Genomic DNA, 20,535 nt, shown 5'->3' with positions numbered 1-20,535 from the left:
GTGGCCATCAGATAACAGGAGCTTCTAGCCAGCAGCCCACGGGCGATACACTGGAGGGGCAGGTTAGGCAACATCACCGGAACCTATTCAGAACAGAGAGGAGCCTATTTAGAAGAAGGAGTGGCCAGAGCCCTGCACTCGGGAAGGAGACAAGTCTTTCTAGAGACTGATGAGCTCCATTGCTTAAAAAAAAAGCTTGAAAACCACTTTTCTTTTCTTTTTTTTTTTTTTTTTTTTTTGAGACGGAGTCTCGCTCTGTCGCCCAGGCTGGAGTGCAGTGGCGGGATCTCGGCTCACTGCAAGCTCCGCCTCCCGGGTTCACGCCATTCTCCTGCCTCAGCCTCCCAAGTAGCTGGGACTACAGGCGCCCGCCACTACGCCCGGCTAATTTTTTGTATTTTTAGTAGAGACGAGGTTTCACCGTTTTAGCCGGGATGGTCTCGATCTCCTGACCTCGTGATCCGCCCGCCTCGGCCTCCCAAAGTGCTGGGATTACAGGCGTGAGCCACCGCGCCCGGCCTTTTTTTTTTTTTTTTGAGACGGAGTCTCGCTGTCTCCCAGGCTGGAGTGCAGTGGCGCGATCTCGGCTCACTGCAAGCTCTGCCCCCCGGGGTTCACGCCATTCTCCTGCCTCAGCCTCCCGAGTAGCTGAGACCACAGGCGCCCGCCACCTTGCCCGGCTAATTTTTTGTATTTTTAGTAGAGACGGGGTTTCACCGTGTTAGCCAGGATGGTCTCGATCTCCTGACCTCGTGATCCACCCGCCTTGGCCTCCCAAAGTGCTGGGATTACAGGCGTGAGCCACCGCACCTGGCCGAAAACCAGTTTTCTATAGAGACATCAAACAAATTTAAAAATGCAATTATTAACTCCAAGAAAACATGTTGTCTGAGAAAGCTAATGTAGGCTAGGCACAGTGGCTCACACCTGTAATCCCACTTGGCACTTTGGGAGGCCAAGGCAGGTGGATCGTTTAAGCCCAGGAGTTCGAGACCAGCCTGGGAAACATGGCAAAATTCCACCTTTACAAAAAATATACCAAAAAAATTAGCTAGCCATAGTGGCACACACCTAGAGTCCCAGCTACTTGGGAGGCTGAGGTGGGAGGATTGCTTGAGCCCAGGAGGCCTAGGCTGCAATAAATCATGATCATGCCACTCTCTTCCAGCCTGGATGACCAAGTGAGACCCTGTCTCAAAAAAAAAAAAAAAAAAAAAGAAAGCTAACGTGATCACATTGCTTAATGCTTTATGTACAATATTTACATGATTGTAATAATGTAAAACCTGAATATTTATATCTTAAGCAAGAATTGTGCTATGCTGTACTGGGAAGACAGAGGCGAGGAAAGTGTGTATGTGTGCGTAGTAAGAAGGGAGACAGAGCTGGAAAAAAGCTAGAGCCTCATTTTCCATAATAGGGAGCCAGTAGGCCATGTCTAATATTTGAAAATCAAGATGCAGTGGTAAAGGCATGTAATTAAGAAATATGGGGGTAAGTGCAAAAAGAAACAGCTAAAACCAGAGTAGGAAATGCAGGGGTGTCACAAGACGGGACAGGGATTGTGGCTCTAGGCAGTGGTGGGCTGTAGATGCTTAACAACTGGGTCTCCAGAGAAAAAAAGGCCCTGATTCATAGCGTTTGCCAATTTTGGTGGTGTAAATATTCCCACGATCACTGATTTCAGGCTAATGCCACCAAATACAGAGATAGAAGAGGCTCTCAGCACACTATTATAGAATATTTCCACTATGCAAATGTAATAGTCACAGATAACCTCAAGAACACAGATAATAGTGAAATAATTGGGAAGTAATACATTTTTAATATTTAGTACTTCTGCTTTTACTATAACTTAATTGCAAGTTTACTCAATGTAATTTATAATAATGGCTCTGTTTAACAACCAGCTTGCAAAACTCCTAAATTCCTAAAAATTTTACCAGTAGGCTCTCACGAGCCAACACAAGCCAACCCCAGCACATCACTTTGCAGTGCTACAGGCTGTAGAGTATTATTAGACCTTCTGACCTCTGCACATTTATTACTTTAACAAACATAAAAATTAAAGAACAAACAAAATGCCTCTGCCAAATGTTCTAAAGGAAGCTGATTGTAAATTTTTAAAAAATGTCAGCAATCTTCTCCCCAAGTCCCACATATGCCTCTGTTGTACAAGTTACTGTTTCTGTACAGGGGGTGTGACCGGAGACCAAACTTGGTCCTGTCTGTCACTGAAGCCTGGCTCCTAACTGCTACACAATACTGTTTTCTCATGCTTCATACTAATACACTAATACACTAACACCAACACTAACACATGGCTATTGATAATATAATAGCATATTAATATAAACACATTTATATTGATTTACAAATATAATCAAATTTAATCCTCATAACAAGCCCATTTTACAACTAAGAAAACAGAGATTTAGTGAGCTTCTATGGAGTCAAGATTTTTCAATGTTCCATGACTGTACAATGACTGTTCAGATGGTCGGCTCACAGAATTGTCCCAGGGGTAGGGTTCTCGGAGGTCCAGGGCTCTAACCTGCCATCTGGTTAGAGAACCTCAGAGAACTTCAGTCTCAACAGAGCTGGGGCAGAGACCTTGCTGCCTGGGGTGGAGGGTGGAGGAAGAGACCTATTCTTTGGAGTCTATAACCCTTAGGGAGATCTTCACCCTGTTCTTGTGGGCATTATCCTGGAGGGCTCACAGAACAAGTCCAGCCCTTCTTGGTGCTGGGACAGAACTTCAATGTCAAATGTTGAATCGCAGCTGTTGTGTACCCTGAGTCTTCCCAAGGAAGAGCTCGGGGCTGGGGATCAGGTTGTATCTCAAATACACCCTGTGTGCCAATGCCAACAGACAGAGTTATTGGCAGATAGGGTGTCTTTGAGATACAACCTGATCCCCAGCCCCAGGAGGAGGGCATGGACGCCCTGCTCCAGGATGAGTGGGAGTGTGAAGTAGGGCACCTTCTCCGGAGATCCATTTGACAGAACCTCTCCAACACTTTTAAAAGGTTCATGACCTTTGACCAATAATTCTGCTTCAGGAACTTACCCCAGGGAAATCAACAGAGAAGCACACTGAAACAGTCACTGCCATGTTATTTATCATAGGGACAGCAATGGGGACATTGTCAAAATAAATTACAGTACACCCATATAATGGAATATTCTGAGGTCATTTAAGATCATATATTCAAAGAATATTTAGTGGCATGAGCATTGCTAAAGATCTACGCTTAGTAAAACAGAATCAAGTTCTATACAGTTTGAGTATTCCATATCCAAAGTGCTTGGGACCAGAAGTATTTCAGATTTTGATTTTTTTTTCAGATTTTGAAATATTTGCATTTTACTTACTGGTTGAGCATCCCAGATCTGAAAATCCAAAATCTAAAGTGCTTCAAAGAGCATTCACTTTGAGCATCATGTTGGTGATCAAGAAGTTTCAGATTTTGGAGCATTTTGGATTTTGGGTTTTTGGATTTAGAATGCTCAACCTGCATATAAAAGGATCCCTATCTAAAAAAACCAATCTACAAGAAAATACATCAGAATGCTAATAGTGACAACATCTGAATAGTTGGATATTACTAGCAGCTTCCAATTCTAACAAACATATAAAATTGTTATTAAAAAAACAGATATTATTACAAAAAACACACCTCCCATAGCCTTGATTGAAAAATATTCCTCTCTGGTTTCAAGCAAACAGTTCTTGAAGAAATAATATGCAGACTGGTGCCTACCAGATTTGCAAGTTTCAAAAGCTTTTGTGCAACATCAATGTATTTGTTCATACAGGTTTCTCTACACCCTTGTTACCAATGGATGGTCTGGAGGGTGCTATGGCTTGAACATGTTCCCCAGAGTTCATGTGTTGGAAACTTAGTCTCCAATGCTACAGTGTTGGGAAGTGGTTATAAGAGGTGATTAGGTCATGAGGGCTGTGCCCTCATGCATGGATTAATGTCTTTATCTTGGGAGTGGGTTAGTTGTCTTGTGAGTGGGTTTGTTATAAAAGTGAGTTTGGTCTTCTCTTGCTCTATCTCTCTTGCCCTCCACCTTCTGCCATGGGATGTCATAGCAGGAAGGCCGTTGCCAGATGCCTGCATCGTGCTCTTTGACTTCCCAGCTTCCAGAACCGTAAACCAAATAAATTTCTGTTTATTGTAAATGTGCCCAGCAACATAAAACAGAATAAGACCAGGGAAAATACATCTTTGAAATTAAATAAAATTATATAGTTAATTGAAAGTGCATTTCAGTGTGTGTGTGTGGCATGCACTCAGGCAGCCATGGCCGGGCCCTCCCTTGGAAAGGCTGGCGGCATGGTGAGTCCACGGGTGTGGCTCACCCAGCAGGCTGTCCAGGGGAGCAGTGGGTACTCTCAACCCCTGTCCAGGATTTATCTGAACCCAGTGAACTGACTGGGGATGAGACAGTTTCAAACCAACCTGCATTGCAGCTTCAGCTTCCTAGATTCTCCCATCACTGCAGAGCTGAATTTTGTACATGGAAGCAAAATGTTTTCTTACCTAGAGAATCAGCTTAGCGAGGCAGAAAGAACAGACTGAGCAGGAGGTAGGATTTCCACACCCGGTTCCGGCACTCACTGGCCCAGTGACCTTGAACATAACCCCTGGCCTCTCTGGGCTTCCCAGATTCCCAGACCCTGGTCTGATACCCTTGCTGCTTTTTCATGGCTCCCCTTTTTACTTTATGAAGCAAGACACACCTGCAACCACAGAGTGCCATGCTTCCAGTGTACCAGCACAGAACACAGGAATCCATATTGAGTCCACATGAGAAAGATGTGAGATGGCAATGCCAGAACAACTGTGAAGAAGACAATAGTGATAACCAAAGACTATTTGATGAGTGAGTGCAAAGTGCTAGGCCTTGTGTTAAGCAATTTTTTCATTTTTTTATTTTCTTTTTTTTTTTTTGAGACGGAGTTTCGCTCTTGTTGCGCAGGCTGGGGTGCAATGGTGCGATCTTGGCTCACGGTGACCTCCGCCGCCTGGGTTCAAGCGATTCTTCTGCCTCAGCCTCCCAAGTAGCTGGGATTATAGGCATGTGCCACTATGCCCAGCTAATTTTTGTATTTTTAGTAGAGACGGGGTTTCACCATGTCGATCAGGCTGGTCTTGAACTCCTGACCTCAGGTGATCCACCCGCCTCAACCTCCCAAAGTGCTGGGATTACAGGCGTGAGCCACTGTACCTGGCCGTGTTAAGCAATTTATATACATTTAAAAATTTAATCCTTGTAACAACCCTATAAGGTTTTATTAAATCCTTATAGTCCTCTGGTAACAGTTCATTTTATGGATGAGACACTGAGCTCTGGGAGGCGACTTGCCCAAGGTGACTTGTCTGGGAAGTGAGGAGCTATCATCTGCACTTGGCTGTCTGCCTCTAAGGCATCTCTGCTATGCTGGCTTCTGTTTCAGGATGTAGATGAGACACCAAGTAAATCAGGGAGGAAAGTCATTAGAAATCAGTGTATGAAGCCGGGCGTGGTGGCTCACTCCTGTAATCCCAGCACTTTGGGAGGCCGAGGCAGGCAGATCACCTGAGGTCAGGAGTTCGAGACCAGCCTGGCCAACGTGACAGAACCCCCTCTCTACCAAAACTACAAAATTAGCCAGGCGTGGTGGCACATGCCTATAATCCCAGCTACTCGGGAGGCTGAGGCAGGAGAATCACTTGACTCGGGAGGTGAAGGTTGCAATGAGCCAAGGTTGCGCCATTGCACTCCAGCCTGGGCAATAGGAGTAAAACTCCGTCTCAAAAAAAAAAAAAAAAGAAAAAAAAAAAAAAAAACAGAAGTAGGAGCTCAACATTTCTAGTGCGGTTCCCACAAGGGGTCGGCGGCAGCTCAGTTGCGAAGCCCCTTAGATTTGTTCTTGGAGACCCTCCCTTCCTACTCTTTTTCTCACCCTGTCTCTCTCCTCCGCCTAGAGCTTGCCAAACTTGGCTACATTTTAGAATCACCTGGGAGTTTAAGTAATCCCAATGCCCAGTGAGCAATATCAACTTATCAGTTAAATTATCAATAAAATAAAGTGTTTAATCAATCAAACAATTAAATATCAATTTAATCCCAATATCTGAGAGGCAGGAGCCAGGCATTGGTATTTTTAATGGGTTTCCCGGATTGATTTCAATGAGCAGCAAAGACTGGGAACCACTACCCTAGAGGCTCCATAGCCTGCTGGGGCCTGGGCCTCCTGCCTCCTGGAGCACCTGAAATACTTGTGCATTCTAAGAGTCAGCAGCTGAAGGTTGGTCTTGTCTCATGTTGGGGAGGGTGAGCAATTCAAAACATTATCAGCTGGGCACGGTGGCTCACGCCTGTAATCCCAGCACTTTGGGAGGCCAAGGTGGGCAGATCACCTGACCTCAGGAGTGTGAGACCAGCCTGGGCAACATGGCAAAATCCCATCTTTACTAAAAAATACAAAAATTAGCTGGATGTGGTGACACGTGCCTGTAATCCCAGCTACTTGGGAGGCTGAGGCATGAGAATGGCTTGAACCCAGGAGGAGGAGGTTGAAGTGAGCGGAGATTGCACCCCTGCACTCCAGCCTGGGCAACAAAGTAAGACTGTCTCCCGAAACAAAATTAAGAACATTATCATGCACATTTAATACAGGCTTATTTGTAGAAACCACAGGTAAAGCAAATAGGAAGACAGAAGTCACATTAGGTGATGAGCATGTAAAGGAGTACCGAGGGCAGTGGATCATGCTGAACCCAGCAGATGGGTGATTTACTGCTGGAATCCCAAGCCTCAGTATGAAAGATGTTTTTTCATGGGCCACCCCTATCATCACTTTCCCTCACTGTGTGCTGCCCCATGCATTCCAGACCATCTGATTAGGTTGCTTATAGTCTTCCTGGCTCTCTCTTCTATGACTGGAAGTTGATATTAAAAGAGAGAGAGTCATTATAAAACAGGTATTGTAGTCCTTCTCCCCCAGAGTCCTGGGCAGAGATCGGGCTCCCTGTGTCCCAGGCTCCCGGGCCTGAAGGAGGCTTTGCCCCCAACTCACATTTGCACAACCCTCAACACTTGCACAGACATTATCTTAATTAGTGTTACCCAGATAAACTAAATAAGGACACTTGCCCCTGGTCACACCACTTGGCAGTGACAGAACCAGAATGAGTTTATGCAGGCTCAGAGCCCTGCATATGCAGGGGCGGGAGGGGGTCTCATGTTCCTAAACATGGATGTCCTTCATCCAAAGTGCTGCCTGCTCCACTGCAGGGTGTTCCCTATTTTCCAGTGACTGTCCGCAACATACACATGTATATGCTTGCATGTGCAAGTGAACACACACACACATATGTACGTGCCATACAAGCTCCTCTCCTGTGGTCCTTTCTGCCCTGGCCTCTGGCTGTGTTCTTTCTCTCCCTCCATCCCAATCAAGACTTACTTGTCTCATGTCCCCTATTTCAGGACCCTGCTTGCTTTGGCCAATTAATCAAGTAAACAAAAGCCTTCCAAAGAGGACTGGGGGACATTGGGTTAGTCCATTTCTCCTTGCGGGTCATCTATGTACATATTGACAGGAGCCTTTTAGAGAAAGCTGCTTGGCCCAAAAGTGTAATCTCCTGGGGTTTTTAGACTCTCAGGCAGACTTCTAGGACATCTATTTTGAGTCAAAGGCTTTATTCACTCTAGAGCTGGCAGGATTTCTGAAGTGGGCCCACTGGTTTATCTCCTTCCCTGTAATGTCTGCTCTTTTCAGTTCTCTCTCCAATCCACCTTACACACTGTTGCCTAATTTTCCTAGGATGCAGCTCTGATGAAATAACTCCCCAGCTCCAAAATCTTCAATGGGTCCCTACTATCTAGACCTTATAAGCCAAACTCCTTATCCAGGCATCAGAGCTGTTGTCATCCCAGCACAGTCCTGCCTTGACACTCTCCCTCAGTCTACTGCCCATGCCATGCCCATGGTTATACACCTCCACCTCCAATGCTCCTTCCTCACTGAGGGACCTTTGGTTCCTGGTTCATCCCTGCCACCAGGCTGTGAGCACCATGATGACAGTGGTCTTGACCAAGGCCACACTCTCTTGCCGAGAGGTAGAACATGCTCTGCAGGGAGGGAGGTGAGGCAGGTGTGTCCTGAGATGGTGACATCCCTGCTTCCCAGCATTCGAGGCCTTAAATGTGATGGGTAGGGATACTGCAGAGGGAAGGTGAGGCTCCCAATATCCAGTCCCACCATGATGTCTCAATATCCTACAGTGGGGGGAGGGGTGGTGCACCAAAACTGTAACTGTTGGAAATGCGAGCAGTGGCAAAAAAAAGTTACATGACAGCATCTATGCAAATTGTGGAAAAAGCACATTTCTGGTTTAGGCAGAAAATCAAAAGAAAAGGACAGTGCTTGCACCATCTCGAGGCTGTCATCACTAGCATTGGCTTTCTCCTCCCCCGCCACAGAGCCATGCTCTCCAAGCAGGTGGGAGTGCTGGGGACGCGGGGTCTGGACCAACAAGAGAGTCAGCTCTGGGGTCTTCAGTATCTTCCCATGGCTGGACCCCAAACAGGCCTTCGTCCTTCAGGCTCCCCACCAGAGGCCTTCCTGAACATCAGGAACCCCTCCCTAGAGGAATCTATCCCAACTGGGGGTGGCCTAGAGAGAGATATAGGCATGGAGGACCCTGGGCGGGTGGAGCTCCGTCAAGGTCAGGAGCAGGTTCCTAAGTCTGCCCTTCGCTTTTTGGCCCAGAGGCCTGGGTTTCTGCCATACCAGGGGCCCTCTCAATAGAGGACCCACCAGAACTTCTCCTGTGTGCATGGGCCGCTGCCAAAATTATAAAAACCCCTCCTTCTGTTCGCCATTTGGCCCAAGGAACGAGGAGGGAAAAGAGGACTCTCCCACCAGGTGCCCTTCCTGTAACACCCCAATTCCACACACCTCTCCTGTAGTGTGAAAGGAAACTCATTTTGAGTTGTGATTTTTGCCCAGCCCACCTGGGATTTGGGGAGCATTACTAAAGCACTGCTACAGCAGCAGGGCAGCACTCTGGGATTCAGGGGACCTGGGTTTTCATCTCAGCTCTGCTGCACACTGGCTGAGTGGCCTGAATCTCTGTCTCTCTAGGTCTCAGTCTCTCCCTCCGAAAAGTGAGGCATTTTTGGGGGGCAGGGATAATAAACATGGTATCCTTGCCCCTCCTGGGGTTTCTCTATCTATAACAGGCATTACCAATCGCTCACTGAGTCCTGCCTGAGCCCAGCAGTCCTCAGCACAGCATCTAGGGAGTCCCTACCAGTCGATCAGAGAATGTCAATCTGCGGCCATGTGATCTCTTAGAGCCCTGACAGCTGTAAACATCCTGAGCCCCTTGCTAAGCCTCTGAGACTCCCTGTACCTCTCTGTAGTCAGAGAGGATTCCCAGAGGCCTCTGATGGGTTAATCCCCACAAACGCCTTTACATCTGCTCCTTCCTCTCCAGGTGCACCCTGCCCATAGCCTTCCTGAGGCACTCCAGTCTTCTAATTGGTCTCCACGGTGCTGGTCTCTTCTCGAACTCCAGAGCAAGATTGGCTTTCTATAATTATTACTTTCCTTGTGCAACTCTTCCAGAATCTTCCATGGCATACATAACTATCTGCAGGATTTTTTGGCAGTTGGGCATCCAAGCCCCCTTCCTGATTTGGAGGACTCTCCCTCTGTGGGCTGTCCTGGTGGGATGCAGTGCCCTACCATGAAAGCTGAAGCAGGGGTTCCTCCTACCCAGGGTCCTCTGCTATCCAGGGACGGGGCATGGGACTGGGTTTGGCCAATCAGACTCCTACCCAGGGTGGGCTGGGACTGGGCCCTCCGGAGCTGTCTTGGTGCTGATCTGGTTCCAAGTCTGGCTCTCCACTGTCCCAGCTCTAGCCCTTTAAATCTATGAAGCCCCTAAACCCTTTCTGCATAAGAGGACTGGGGTTGGGGGTGATTTCTGTTGCTAGCAACAGATAACTACATCTGTGTTATCTCTGCTCCTCAACAATGTCTCCGCTTTTCAGAGACAGAAACTGAGACCTAGAGACAGAGATTTGGGCCACTCAGCCAGTGTGCAGCAGGAATCCTGACTTAGTCAGCTCCCCTTTCTCTGTCTTATCAGATCTGACTTACCTGCCTGGCCCTCGAGGGGCACGCACACCCTGTTCCCACCCCCAACTGCCCTCTAACCTTATTCTTTGGTTTGCTCAACCCTACAGGGGTCACACTTCTCAAGTGTGACAGACCCAATTTTAAATGTGATGTCTCAGGTCCTATGAAAATGGTGATTATCTCCCCCAATCCCAATATTTGGATGACCACCTTTTCCCAGACTTCTTCTCTGACAGAAACACAGAACTTCTCTGCCAGATCATGGGTGTCCTAACCCTTGGTTTGGGAAAATATGGCCCCCAAATCAGGGGGCTCCTCACTGGCCCCCTCCCTGCATTCCTTGTGACACGGTCTTTAGAAAGGCCTGCTCCTCTGGGCTTCTGCACCCCTCAAGAGACGCCCCAACTCCTGCTCCCACTGAGACGATTTAGTGCACTTCACATCTTGTGGTCTTCCTTTTCCCTCAGCTTTTCTTTCCAAAAAAAAATTTTTTTTTGAGATGGAGGGAGATCTTGCTCTCTCGCCCAGGCTAGAGTGCAATGGCACGATCTCAGCTCACTGCAACCTCCTCCTTCTGGGTTCAAGCGATTCTCCTGCCTCAGGTTCGCGAGTAGCTGGGATTACAGGCACCTGCCATCATGCCCGGCTAATTTTTGTATTTTTGTAGAGACAGGGTTTCACCATGTTGGCCAGGCTGGTCTAGAACTCTTGACCTCAGGCGATCTGCCTACCTCAGCCTCCCAAAGTGCTGGTATTACAGGCGTGAGCCACCGCGCCCGGCCCCTTTTCCCTAAGCTTTTCTAAGCCCTTCTTCCCACAGCATTTGTGATCATGCTGGCTGTCATTTACTGAGGGCTTCCCATGGGTCAGACCTGAAGCCAAGTGTTATTTCAATTTTTTAGCACAATAACCTTACGAAGTACAGGTCATTGTGTCCATTTTGCAGATGAGGAAACTGAAGCTTAGTGAGATTAACTAACACAGCGGCAAAGCCAGGATGCAACCCTTAGTCTTTCTGACCTTCAAATTAGAATGTAAGCTCCATGCAGGGTGGTGCTCTGTCTTGTCCTCTGCTATAACCCCAGTGTCTGGAATCGTGCTGGACACAAATGGTAAGCTCTCACCAAATTGTGTTGAATTAATGATGCCATAGACGGTGGACCTAATCAGGATCCCCTGTACAGTTGCATGGACTGTACACTGCACAACTCAAGGGGGTACCATTTGCATGGTGCAGAGCCTTCTGTTGTGCTCTGGGCCTAACCATGACACTGTCCTGCTTCTCCATTTAGCATTGTCTTGCGTTGTTTGCTTTATTTCACGGGTGTTTGTTGCCCTCCCAAGAGATTATCCACACTTTCATCTTAAATGAGATAATCATGGAGGGTTTCCAGCAGAGTGTGAGACATGAATGAAACCTCAGTGGTACAGACATGCTTCTTACACCCTCTGGTCTCAAACACAATGCCAGTCTATATTCAGGATCAAATGACTCCCCCAGCCACATGCTGCCAGCTGCAAAGATACTGTTGTCATTGAAGTGGGAGTGAGTCACATGGCACCATCCACATGCTCCCAGGCTGGGCCACTCTGCCTTGCCTCTTAGGGATAGCCACCGAGAGAACCGCCATCCACCAAGAGCGTGCACACTCTGCGGGGGCCCAGTGCCCACCATCTTCCCTGCCCAGACACCATAGAGACTCAGCCCTGGGCCATCACTGTCCCCATGGAAGTCATGGAATCTGTGGGCAGGGCAGGGGACCTCTGGCTCAGAACTTCAGCCTTGCTCCATCAGGGATATGTAAGGGGCCAGAGAAGGAGATGCACCACCTCCGAGGTAATGACCCTGGGAATCTATGGCCTTGAAAATGTCCTTTACATTGTAAGTGAACAGCCCCATGCTGAGATGACCAGTCCCTCCCCATCCCAAGCTTTCTCTCTGCTGCATCTGTGGAGGTTGGTTGATCCTCAGGGGCTGGGGTAGTGGGAGAAGGAACATATTGCACTCCGAACCCCTAGAAGTCAGGGTCTACTTTGGCTCAGCTCACGCTAATGACTGACTGAGCAAGTTCCTTCCTCCCAGGGCTTCAGTTTCCACATGAGCCAATAAATACAAACTCACTGGGCACGGGGCCTGGCACCACAGAAGCACTCGATAAATGGTAGTTATTATTATCATCTGCAAAATGCAGGTTAGCTTCCTCCCTCTGCCTCTGTGCTCTGCACAGCCCCTCGGACCAGACCCTCCTTTGTACTGTGCTTAATGGCTGTCATGGCTGTCACCCTCACCAAGGGTGAGCTTTCCATGGGTGGGGTATGTGTCTAACCCATCTTTGTACAGGCCTAGCATGGCCAGCTGCCCCGGTGCATGTGCTCAGAAAGTGTCTGCACAGTGGACCTGAACCATCAGGGCCCTTCCAGCTCTGCCAGTCTGGGGTTATATGTTGAATCTCCACCCAGCTCACCAAACACAGACAAGAACCCTCCCTGGGCCTGGAGCTGGCCACCTAGAGATGAATAAGATGGGATGATTCCCTTGGATGTCACTTCCACCACATTCTGTCTGTTTTAGTCACTACTGTATCCCAACACCCAGCACGGTGCCAGGCCCATAGTAGAGTCTCAATAAATATCTACTGAACTCATCCACGAGTGAGAAGCAGGTGATATTTCTGGGAAGGCCCTCACTCTGCCTGACCAGCTCGGAGGGCCAGGTCAGGGACTGGGTCCTACTGTCAAGCCAAGTTGGGCTGCTGGAGGGGCAGGGAGGGGAACACACCCTGAGTACAGCGGTCCCCTGGCCTCTAGCCAGATCCACTATCTGTCCAGTAACCTGGGGCTACATTTTCTACTCTAGTTCTTCCCTATCTGAGCACTGGAGGACCGGCAATGAAGGCTGGAGTTTGGGTGTGTGGTGCCTGAGTTTGGGGCTCCCAGGGGACATGGTGTGGGCAGCTCTTCTGAGCCTGGTGCTGGCTATGCCACCTGCTGATCCCTGGACACGCTCAGCTGCCTTCTTTTGTTTTCTTTTTTCTTTTTTGAAGTGGAGTCTCGCTCTTTTGCCCAGGCTGGAGTACAGTGGCACAATCTCAGCTCACTGCAACCTCTGTCTCCTGGGTTCAAATGATTCTCCTGCCTCAGTCCACTGAGTAGCTGGGATAACAGGCACCCACCACCTCACCTGGCTAATTTTTGTATTTTTAGTAGAGATGGGGTTTCACCATGTTGGCCAGGCTGGTCTTGAACTCCTGACCTCAGGTGATCTGCCCAAGTCGGCCTCCCAAAGTGTTGGGATTACAGGTGTGAACCACCGCCTGCTGTCTTTTCTCTGTTATTGCCCGACAGGCCTGGGGCACCCTTCTGGGGGCTCAGTGTGAGGGAGGGGAGAAAGGGCTCACACTGACACAGAAATTGGGGAATTCCTCCTCCTCCTCCCCCTGCTCTTACTATGGAGTGCTAGGCTGTTCTGCCTGACTCCTTCTCTGACAACAGGACCTGGGTCTGCTGTCCTCCCAGACTCAGTGGGAAAGGTCCTAACCCCGCCAGTGTTGTAGGAACAGCCAGCAGCCAGTGGCACGGGTGCTGTACAAGTCATCTGGGGGGAAAGTCAAGTGCATGTTAGGCCTTTGTCAGGAAGCAACAGACCTTGCAGGGGAAAGGAGAGCTCCTGTTAATTATGGAGGGGCAAGGCAGCCTCCTGGGCCAGGGGGCTGGGCCCCACCAGGCCTCCGAGAGGCAGGAGATTTTCATGAAATAACAGGAAACCCTCAATCCAGCCAACGTTCATGTTTTTCCATGGCTGCAGAGAGCCTGTGGCTGGCTGAACCAGGGGATCAGGACCTGTTCTTGACACAGTAGAGGGGACTTGGCCACCCAGCTATGGTGAAGGAGAGGGTGAAGGCAGGAACAGACATATCAGGAGAGGGGAGGCAGGAGACACACAGAATGGGGCTGGGCAGTGGGTGAGGAACCCTCCAACCTGGTAGGGTTGTTTTATCTGCAGAATGGACAGGGGCTGGCACAGGGTGGACAATTTCCCAACACGAAGTCACCAAGGCCTATGACAAAGACAGCTATTTTCTTCCTGCCCATGGAGGTTTTGAAGGTCCGCTCCCAAGTAACCTTTGCCTCTCCAAGCAAATCCCTGAAAACCCCTGGAGCACAGCCTCAGCATCCCCCCGCCACCATCTGGCCTTTCCCAGAAAAGCTGCCTCCCAGCTGCCCAAGGAAATGCTTTCTCTGTGGCAGAGAGGGGCCCTTGTCCTTAGCCATTGCATGACAGGGAGAGGGTCTCAGCTCCACCCTCTGCTGTGTGGCCTTCAGCTAGCCCTATCCCTGTCTGGGCCTCATCTGTATCATCTGTACAATGGGGCTTTGTGCGGGGTGACCTTTGAGGTTCTGGAATTTTCTTACTTGCAGTCTCTGCTCAGGCCCAGTGGGAATGACCAGCAGTGCACCCTGCAAATATAGTGATGGGGCTTGGGGTTCAATTGGGAGCTTTGCAGGAAGGGCAGAGGAGCAAGCTTTGGAGAGGAAGAGGGAGCACTGACAGATGGCTTGGAGGAGAGGGAGGGTGTGCCTCCGGGGCTCCAGGCCTGGCGGGGAGCACAGTCCCGAAAGTGCTGCAAAAACAGGTCTTGGACTGGGCACCGTGGCTCATGCCTGTAATCCCAGCATTTTGGGAGGCTGAAATGGGAGGATCACTTGAACACAGGAGTTCAAGACCAGCCTGGGCAGCACAGTGAAACCTGTCTCTACAAAAAAAAGAAAAAAAATTAGCCAGGCATGGTGGTGCACACCTCTGGTCCCAGCTACTTGGGGAGGCTGATGTGGGAGGGTCCATTGATCCAGGAAGTAGAGACTGCAGTGAGTCGTGATGGTGCCACTGTACTCCACCCTGGGTGACAGAGCATGACTCTGTCTTAAAAAAAAAAATAATCCAGAAGAAACAAAAAACACAGATCTTGGGCCACCTCTAGACCTCCTGAGTCAGGTCAAGGCCTCTGGGAACAAGCATTTTAAACACTCTCCTCAGGTGGCTGCGGTGTGCGCATGCTAGCACAGAGGTGACAGCAGGACTTGGGAAACACGGCTGAGACCTGCACTCCAGCTTGAGAGTCTCATGGACTCTAGTTCAAGTCCTGCCTCTGCAGCTTTCTGAGAATAGCAGCCCCATGTCACAGGGGAACAGGGACAGTGTATGGAGGTGTCTGGCATTTGACGGGTTTAGGCAGCGGTGGTTATCCTTGCAGACCCCTTACCCTCTGGCACCTCAGTCCTGACAGCTGAGGAAGGTGACCTGAAGCTAGATTGGCCCCCGGAAATTAAAGGCTAAGGTGGGCCAGGAGGCAGAAGTCCTGCTTCAATTCAGAATCCTCTGGAGGGTTTGTGCAGCTCATCATGACTCCTATGTCCCTCACCCACAGATGCGGACGCTAGCAGTCATGTTAGCACCACAAGTGTGGGCCACTGCCAGCACACACACGCTAAACTGATTGGATCATAATGGGCATCTAATTCAAGCTGAGCCAATCAGATATCCTTATCTGCCCACACTGTGCCCTTGCACACACAAACACACAGCTGATTGGGCCAGGATGAGCGTCTAACTCAAGCTGAGCCTATCAGATTCCCTGACCACTGTATTTAAATTCAGCCACCCCTCCACCTGCCCACACCCCTGTCCCCTTCCCTAATCAATTTCTCCTCCTAGCATTATTCTATTCTATTCTATATTCTATTCCATTTCTGTTCTATTATTATACTATATTATACCCTATAATCCACTTTATTATCTGTCTCCTCCGCTAGCGTGTAGGCCCCATGAAGGCTGGGGTTTTTGTCTGTTTTGTTCACTGCTGGGTCCCCAGTGCTTCCCACAGTGCCGGGTACAGAGAAGGTGCTCAGTAAAAATTTGTTAAGTGAATAAATTCTCTCTTCCAGGAGGTGGAATTGCAGCTAACATTTACAGAGAACCTACAATGTGTTAATGTTTTCTAAGCACTTTAAATATGTACTAACTTGTTATGATCTCCATGACCTTGGTTTTACAAAAATAGATCTATAAACATCTTATTTGAGTCTCACTACCTCTGTGGAGGAGTTATCATTTCCCTAACTTCAGAGATGAGACAACAGAGGCTCAGAAGGGTTCATGGTCTTGCTCAAGATCACGCAGCAACTAAGTGGCAAAGCTCAAACTAGAATTTACAACTTCACCTCCTACCTCCTCAAGTCCCCATTTCTTTCCAGACACAGGATACCCCTCCTCTGCCTAGAAGATGCTATTCCTGCCCTCAGAGGCTTTACTTTCCCTGGGAAGGTGAGCTAGAGGAAGAGACAGCTCCAAAGGCCCAAGCAGAGGCTGAACTGACCGAGGAAAGGGAATTGACACAGCTTGTTTCCTGTCCTCAAAGTTACTGTGAAATCCTCATGAATGACTGACAGCAAAATGGGAGGCAGCTGCCGCAAGGGGAATTCCAGAGCATGCTGAAGCGGGGTACAAACATTCCAATTCATGCTGGACTAGAAGTATTTTCGCCATCATGGCTGCCTTCTTCAGATTACCTTCTGCTCTATTTCCCAATTTCAGTGTGGCTCACGGAGCTGAGAACAATACTGTAGTTCCAGCCTGTGGTCTGACCAGTACAAAAGGAAGGGGGAAGAGTTCCTCTTTCTTCTTGCCTAAGTCTTTTTGCCTTATAAAAGAATCTCTGACTCTCTAGCTGACTGATACCTGAAGTTCTACTATTAGGGATTCATTCCTTTCGTGCTCCACCTTGCTGCTCTCAAAATAAAATAAAAATACCCCTAAAGAGAGTGTAGTGGGAGATAATATTGGTCACTGTGGACTCATTCTGAATAAGCTTTGAGAATATTCCTGAAGGCAGGTCTGAGGGAAAAGAGCATGAGGGCACTGGTGGAAAGGCTGGAGGGAGAAAGAGGGAATAAGGTAGTTGGGATCAGGGCAAACTCTTACTCCAACCCTGCCTGGTGAGGTCATGGAGCACTGCTGAGTTTGATGTTCTTCGCGTGTGCTCCACGGAGAAGCCACTGCCCACGAGCCTTTCTCTGGCGGTCAGGGCCCCTACTCTTCCACCCCACCGCCAGTGCAAGTCCAGTTTGGGGAGGGCACTTGCTTGAGGTCACCCAGTGAGTAAGAGGGTGATGGCTGTGCCAGGCCACACCCAGGTTTGCAGACACCCAGGCCAGTGCCCCATCCCACCTGTCAGTTCTGGAGACCTTGCTCACAGGAAGGGGCAGCAGGGTCACCTGAAGACCCAGGGCACACAATCACCTGGGGCATTCGCTGGCTTCAGTCCCGAGTTACAGACACTGGCGGGCATTCTGATGGCCTCGTCTGTCTTCCGGGCACATGTGTGCAGAGAATATATACTACCCACCGTCCCGAAGCCCCCAGCAGGGAGCTCTCAGACCCCAAAGGGTTGCTTCTTCTCTGGAAAGCCTCGCCTAGCCAGAGGGCAGCATCGTGGCCAAGCAGGAAAGCTGTGCTACCAGCATTCCACCAGCAGAGGGCGGTGGCTGCGCTACTCTCAGCCACATCCAAGCTCTTAGACTCTGTGGGAGGGAACTGAGCCGACCAGGACCCGAGACACACACGCAGCCTCTCTCCCGCTCCCAGTCAACCCCAGCTCACAACTGTGCCCATCACTTAGAAAATTCTTCATAATGAGATGAAAATCCGCCTCCTTCTAACTTTTGCCATAAGCTCCTACTGCTGCTTCTGGGTCCACCGAAAAAGTCAACCCTTCTTTTATTTGTCAGCTCTTGGGAGCTGGAGTCCCTTTCCTAGTTAGTCACCCACGGTGCTGTGGGTCTTAGCGGGACACTGTCCTTTTTTTTTTTTTTTTTTTTTTTAGACGGAGTCTCGCTCTGTTGCCCAGGCTGGAGTGCAGTGGCGCCATCTCGGCTCACTGCAAACTCTGTCTCCCCCGTTCAGGTGATTCTCCTGCCTCAGCCTCCTGAGTAGCTGGGATTACAGGCGCATGCCACCACGCCTGGCTAATTTTTGTATTTTTAGTAGAAACGGGGTTTCACTATGTTGGCCAGCTGGTCTCGAACTCCTGACCTTAAGTGATTCGCCTGCCTTGGCCTCCTAAAGTGCTGGGATTACAGGCATGTGCCACGGAGCCCGGCCAAGACACTTTCCTTTTTTAAGAAAATTTTATTTTATTGAGACAGTGTCTCACTCTGTGTGCCCAGGCCAGAGTACAGTGGCATGATCATAGTTTACTGCAGCCTCGACTGTCCAGTCTCAAGCAATTCTCCTACCTCAGCCTCCCAAGTAGCCGGACTCAGGCATGCTTGGCTAATTTTTTATTTTTTTCATTTGAGAGACAGGGTTGCCCAGGCTGGTTTGGAACTCCTGGGCTCAAGCAATCCTCCCACCTCAGCCTTCCAAAATGCTGGTATCATAGACGTGAGCCATTGTGCCCGACCTCCTCTTTCTTTCTCATCTTTAAGAGATTGATGGATCCCAATCAATTCTGAGGCTCCTTCCAACTCTGACATTCCAAATGACACCCCTTTCAGTTACTGCTGAAGGGCAGAAGAGGGCAGACTCTGCACTTCCACCACCCACCTACCGGCTTAGGTTTCCAGCACTCACAGTGGCCCCCATTCACCACCCCTGTAAGCTACAACTTGTTTGTAGACCCTTTCCCTGGGGGTGTGGGTTCTCCTGCCTGCTATGTCCTCACATCCACCTGCACCTGATCTCATCTTCAACCCATACCCCACACCCTGGTACCCCCCATTAGGCGCATCTGATCCAAACTGTGATGTGAGGGGCTGCTCTAAGGTCGCCGAGCTCACATTATGTGGCTCTCACATCCCACCTGCAGTCCCTGGCCACTTGGTGGGGGTGGGGAGGGGCAGGCTCATGGGGTGGCAGGTCCCTGCCTCATAACCTAAGGGGCCTGGTTTGCTGCCTGATGTATCTCCTCCCTCTCCACCTCTCCCTAGGCCACTCCATCCCAGAACAGGATTCTTCCTGGTTCTAGAGGCACCATTTCTTCACTTCCAAAGCTGAGCCACTGTATCACTTGCAGTCTCTTTTGAGAGTCAGATGAATTCACTGTCCTCAGACATTTCTGTTTTAACTTCAAAAATGATGTGTATTATACTTGGCTCACGTCTGTAATCCCAGCACTTTGGAAGGCCGAGATAAGAGAATTGCTAGAGTCCAGGAGTTCAAGATCAGCCTGGGCAACATAGTGAGACCCCATCTGTACACACACAAAAATTAGCCAGGCATGGTGGTGCACATCTATGTCCCGGCTGTTATACAAACATTCTATGTACTTGGCTCATGCCTGTAATCCCAGCACTTTGGGAGGCTGAGGTGGGAGGATCACTTGATTCCAGGAGACTGAGGCTGCAGTGAGCTATGATTGTACCACTGCACCCCAGCCTGGGCGACAGAGTGAGATTCTGTCTCAAAAAATTTTTAAAAACCAGAAAATTATGCATACTCAAAGAAGATGACTTGAAAAACACCAAAAAAGTACACACACACACACACACACACACACCTCCCGATTACCAAGTTGCTCAGGGATAGTTGCTGTTACTTTAGATATAAATCTTCCCCATGCTGCACTCAGCGAACAAGTGGAGTGGGATCTTTTCACCCCGGTTCACTATTCCTGTGGGCCCCATCATGCTCTCAAGGGCTTCCAAAAAAGCTGGGCACAGTCAGAACTTTGGGAGCTTATGGATAGCCCCTGACTGCCCCTTAGAACACACCTTTCCCTGTTAAGCACTTTAACCCTGGGATGGTCTCCTGTAATCTCACCTCCTAGTATACATGCCTTGTGTAGTCCCCTCCCATATTGCACCAGGGTTGGTCTGTGTTACTAATAGAATGTGGCCAGGGTTACACAAGATTCCAGTTTCTGCCTGGGCTCTCTTGCTCTCACCTGGATCACCACTCAGAGGAGGCCAGCTGCCATGAGTGAGAACACTTAGCCTATGGAGAGACCAGGTGTGAGGGACTGAGGTCTCTGGCCAACAGCCTGCAAGGAAGTGAGGCCTCCTGCCAATAGCTGCAAGAATGAGCTTGGAAGTGTATATTCCCCAGTCGAGCCTTCAGATGACTGCAGCCCTGGCCGACAGCTTTAACGCAACCAAATGAGACCCTGAACCAGAACTACCCAGCCACATTTTGGGGTAATTTGTTATGCAACAACAGAACATTAACACAGCTATATTTTCTATTTGTTGTGAGGGAGGCAGAACAGGCATTATCATCTCAGATTTTGATATGGGAAACTGAGGCAGGTAAGCCATGTGGGTGAGGCTTTGGCTCATATGTGGGTCTACAGCCAACAGGGATGTTGAGCCAATTTTCCTGGGTCTCAAAC

General features: G+C 49.2%; 1 protein-coding gene across 5 annotated transcripts in view, besides 2 other annotated features; it reads right to left on the bottom strand.

Moving 5' to 3' along the window:
- CORO2B (coronin 2B) overlaps positions 1-20,535 on the bottom strand; it is a 209,434-nt gene that overhangs the window by 35,943 nt on the left and 152,956 nt on the right. The window lies entirely within an intron of this gene.
- Positions 17,425-17,925: an enhancer, noted in NCBI's record as "H3K4me1 hESC enhancer chr15:68966278-68966778 (GRCh37/hg19 assembly coordinates)". NCBI's record gives its function as "activates a minimal SCP1, AML or CMV promoter by ChIP-STARR-seq in primed H9 embryonic stem cells {active_cell/tissue: H9 hESC(primed)}" and the evidence as "EXISTENCE:reporter gene assay evidence [ECO:0000049][PMID:30033119]".
- Positions 17,801-17,850: an enhancer, noted in NCBI's record as "active region_9645". NCBI's record gives its function as "activates an Ori minimal core promoter by ATAC-STARR-seq in GM12878 lymphoblastoid cells {active_cell/tissue: GM12878}" and the evidence as "EXISTENCE:reporter gene assay evidence [ECO:0000049][PMID:35858748]".

Source organism: Homo sapiens, chromosome 15 (assembly GCF_000001405.40).
Source record: "Homo sapiens chromosome 15, GRCh38.p14 Primary Assembly".
Lineage (NCBI taxonomy): Eukaryota > Metazoa > Chordata > Mammalia > Primates > Hominidae > Homo > Homo sapiens.
This window is presented reverse-complemented; position numbering and strand designations above follow the sequence as displayed.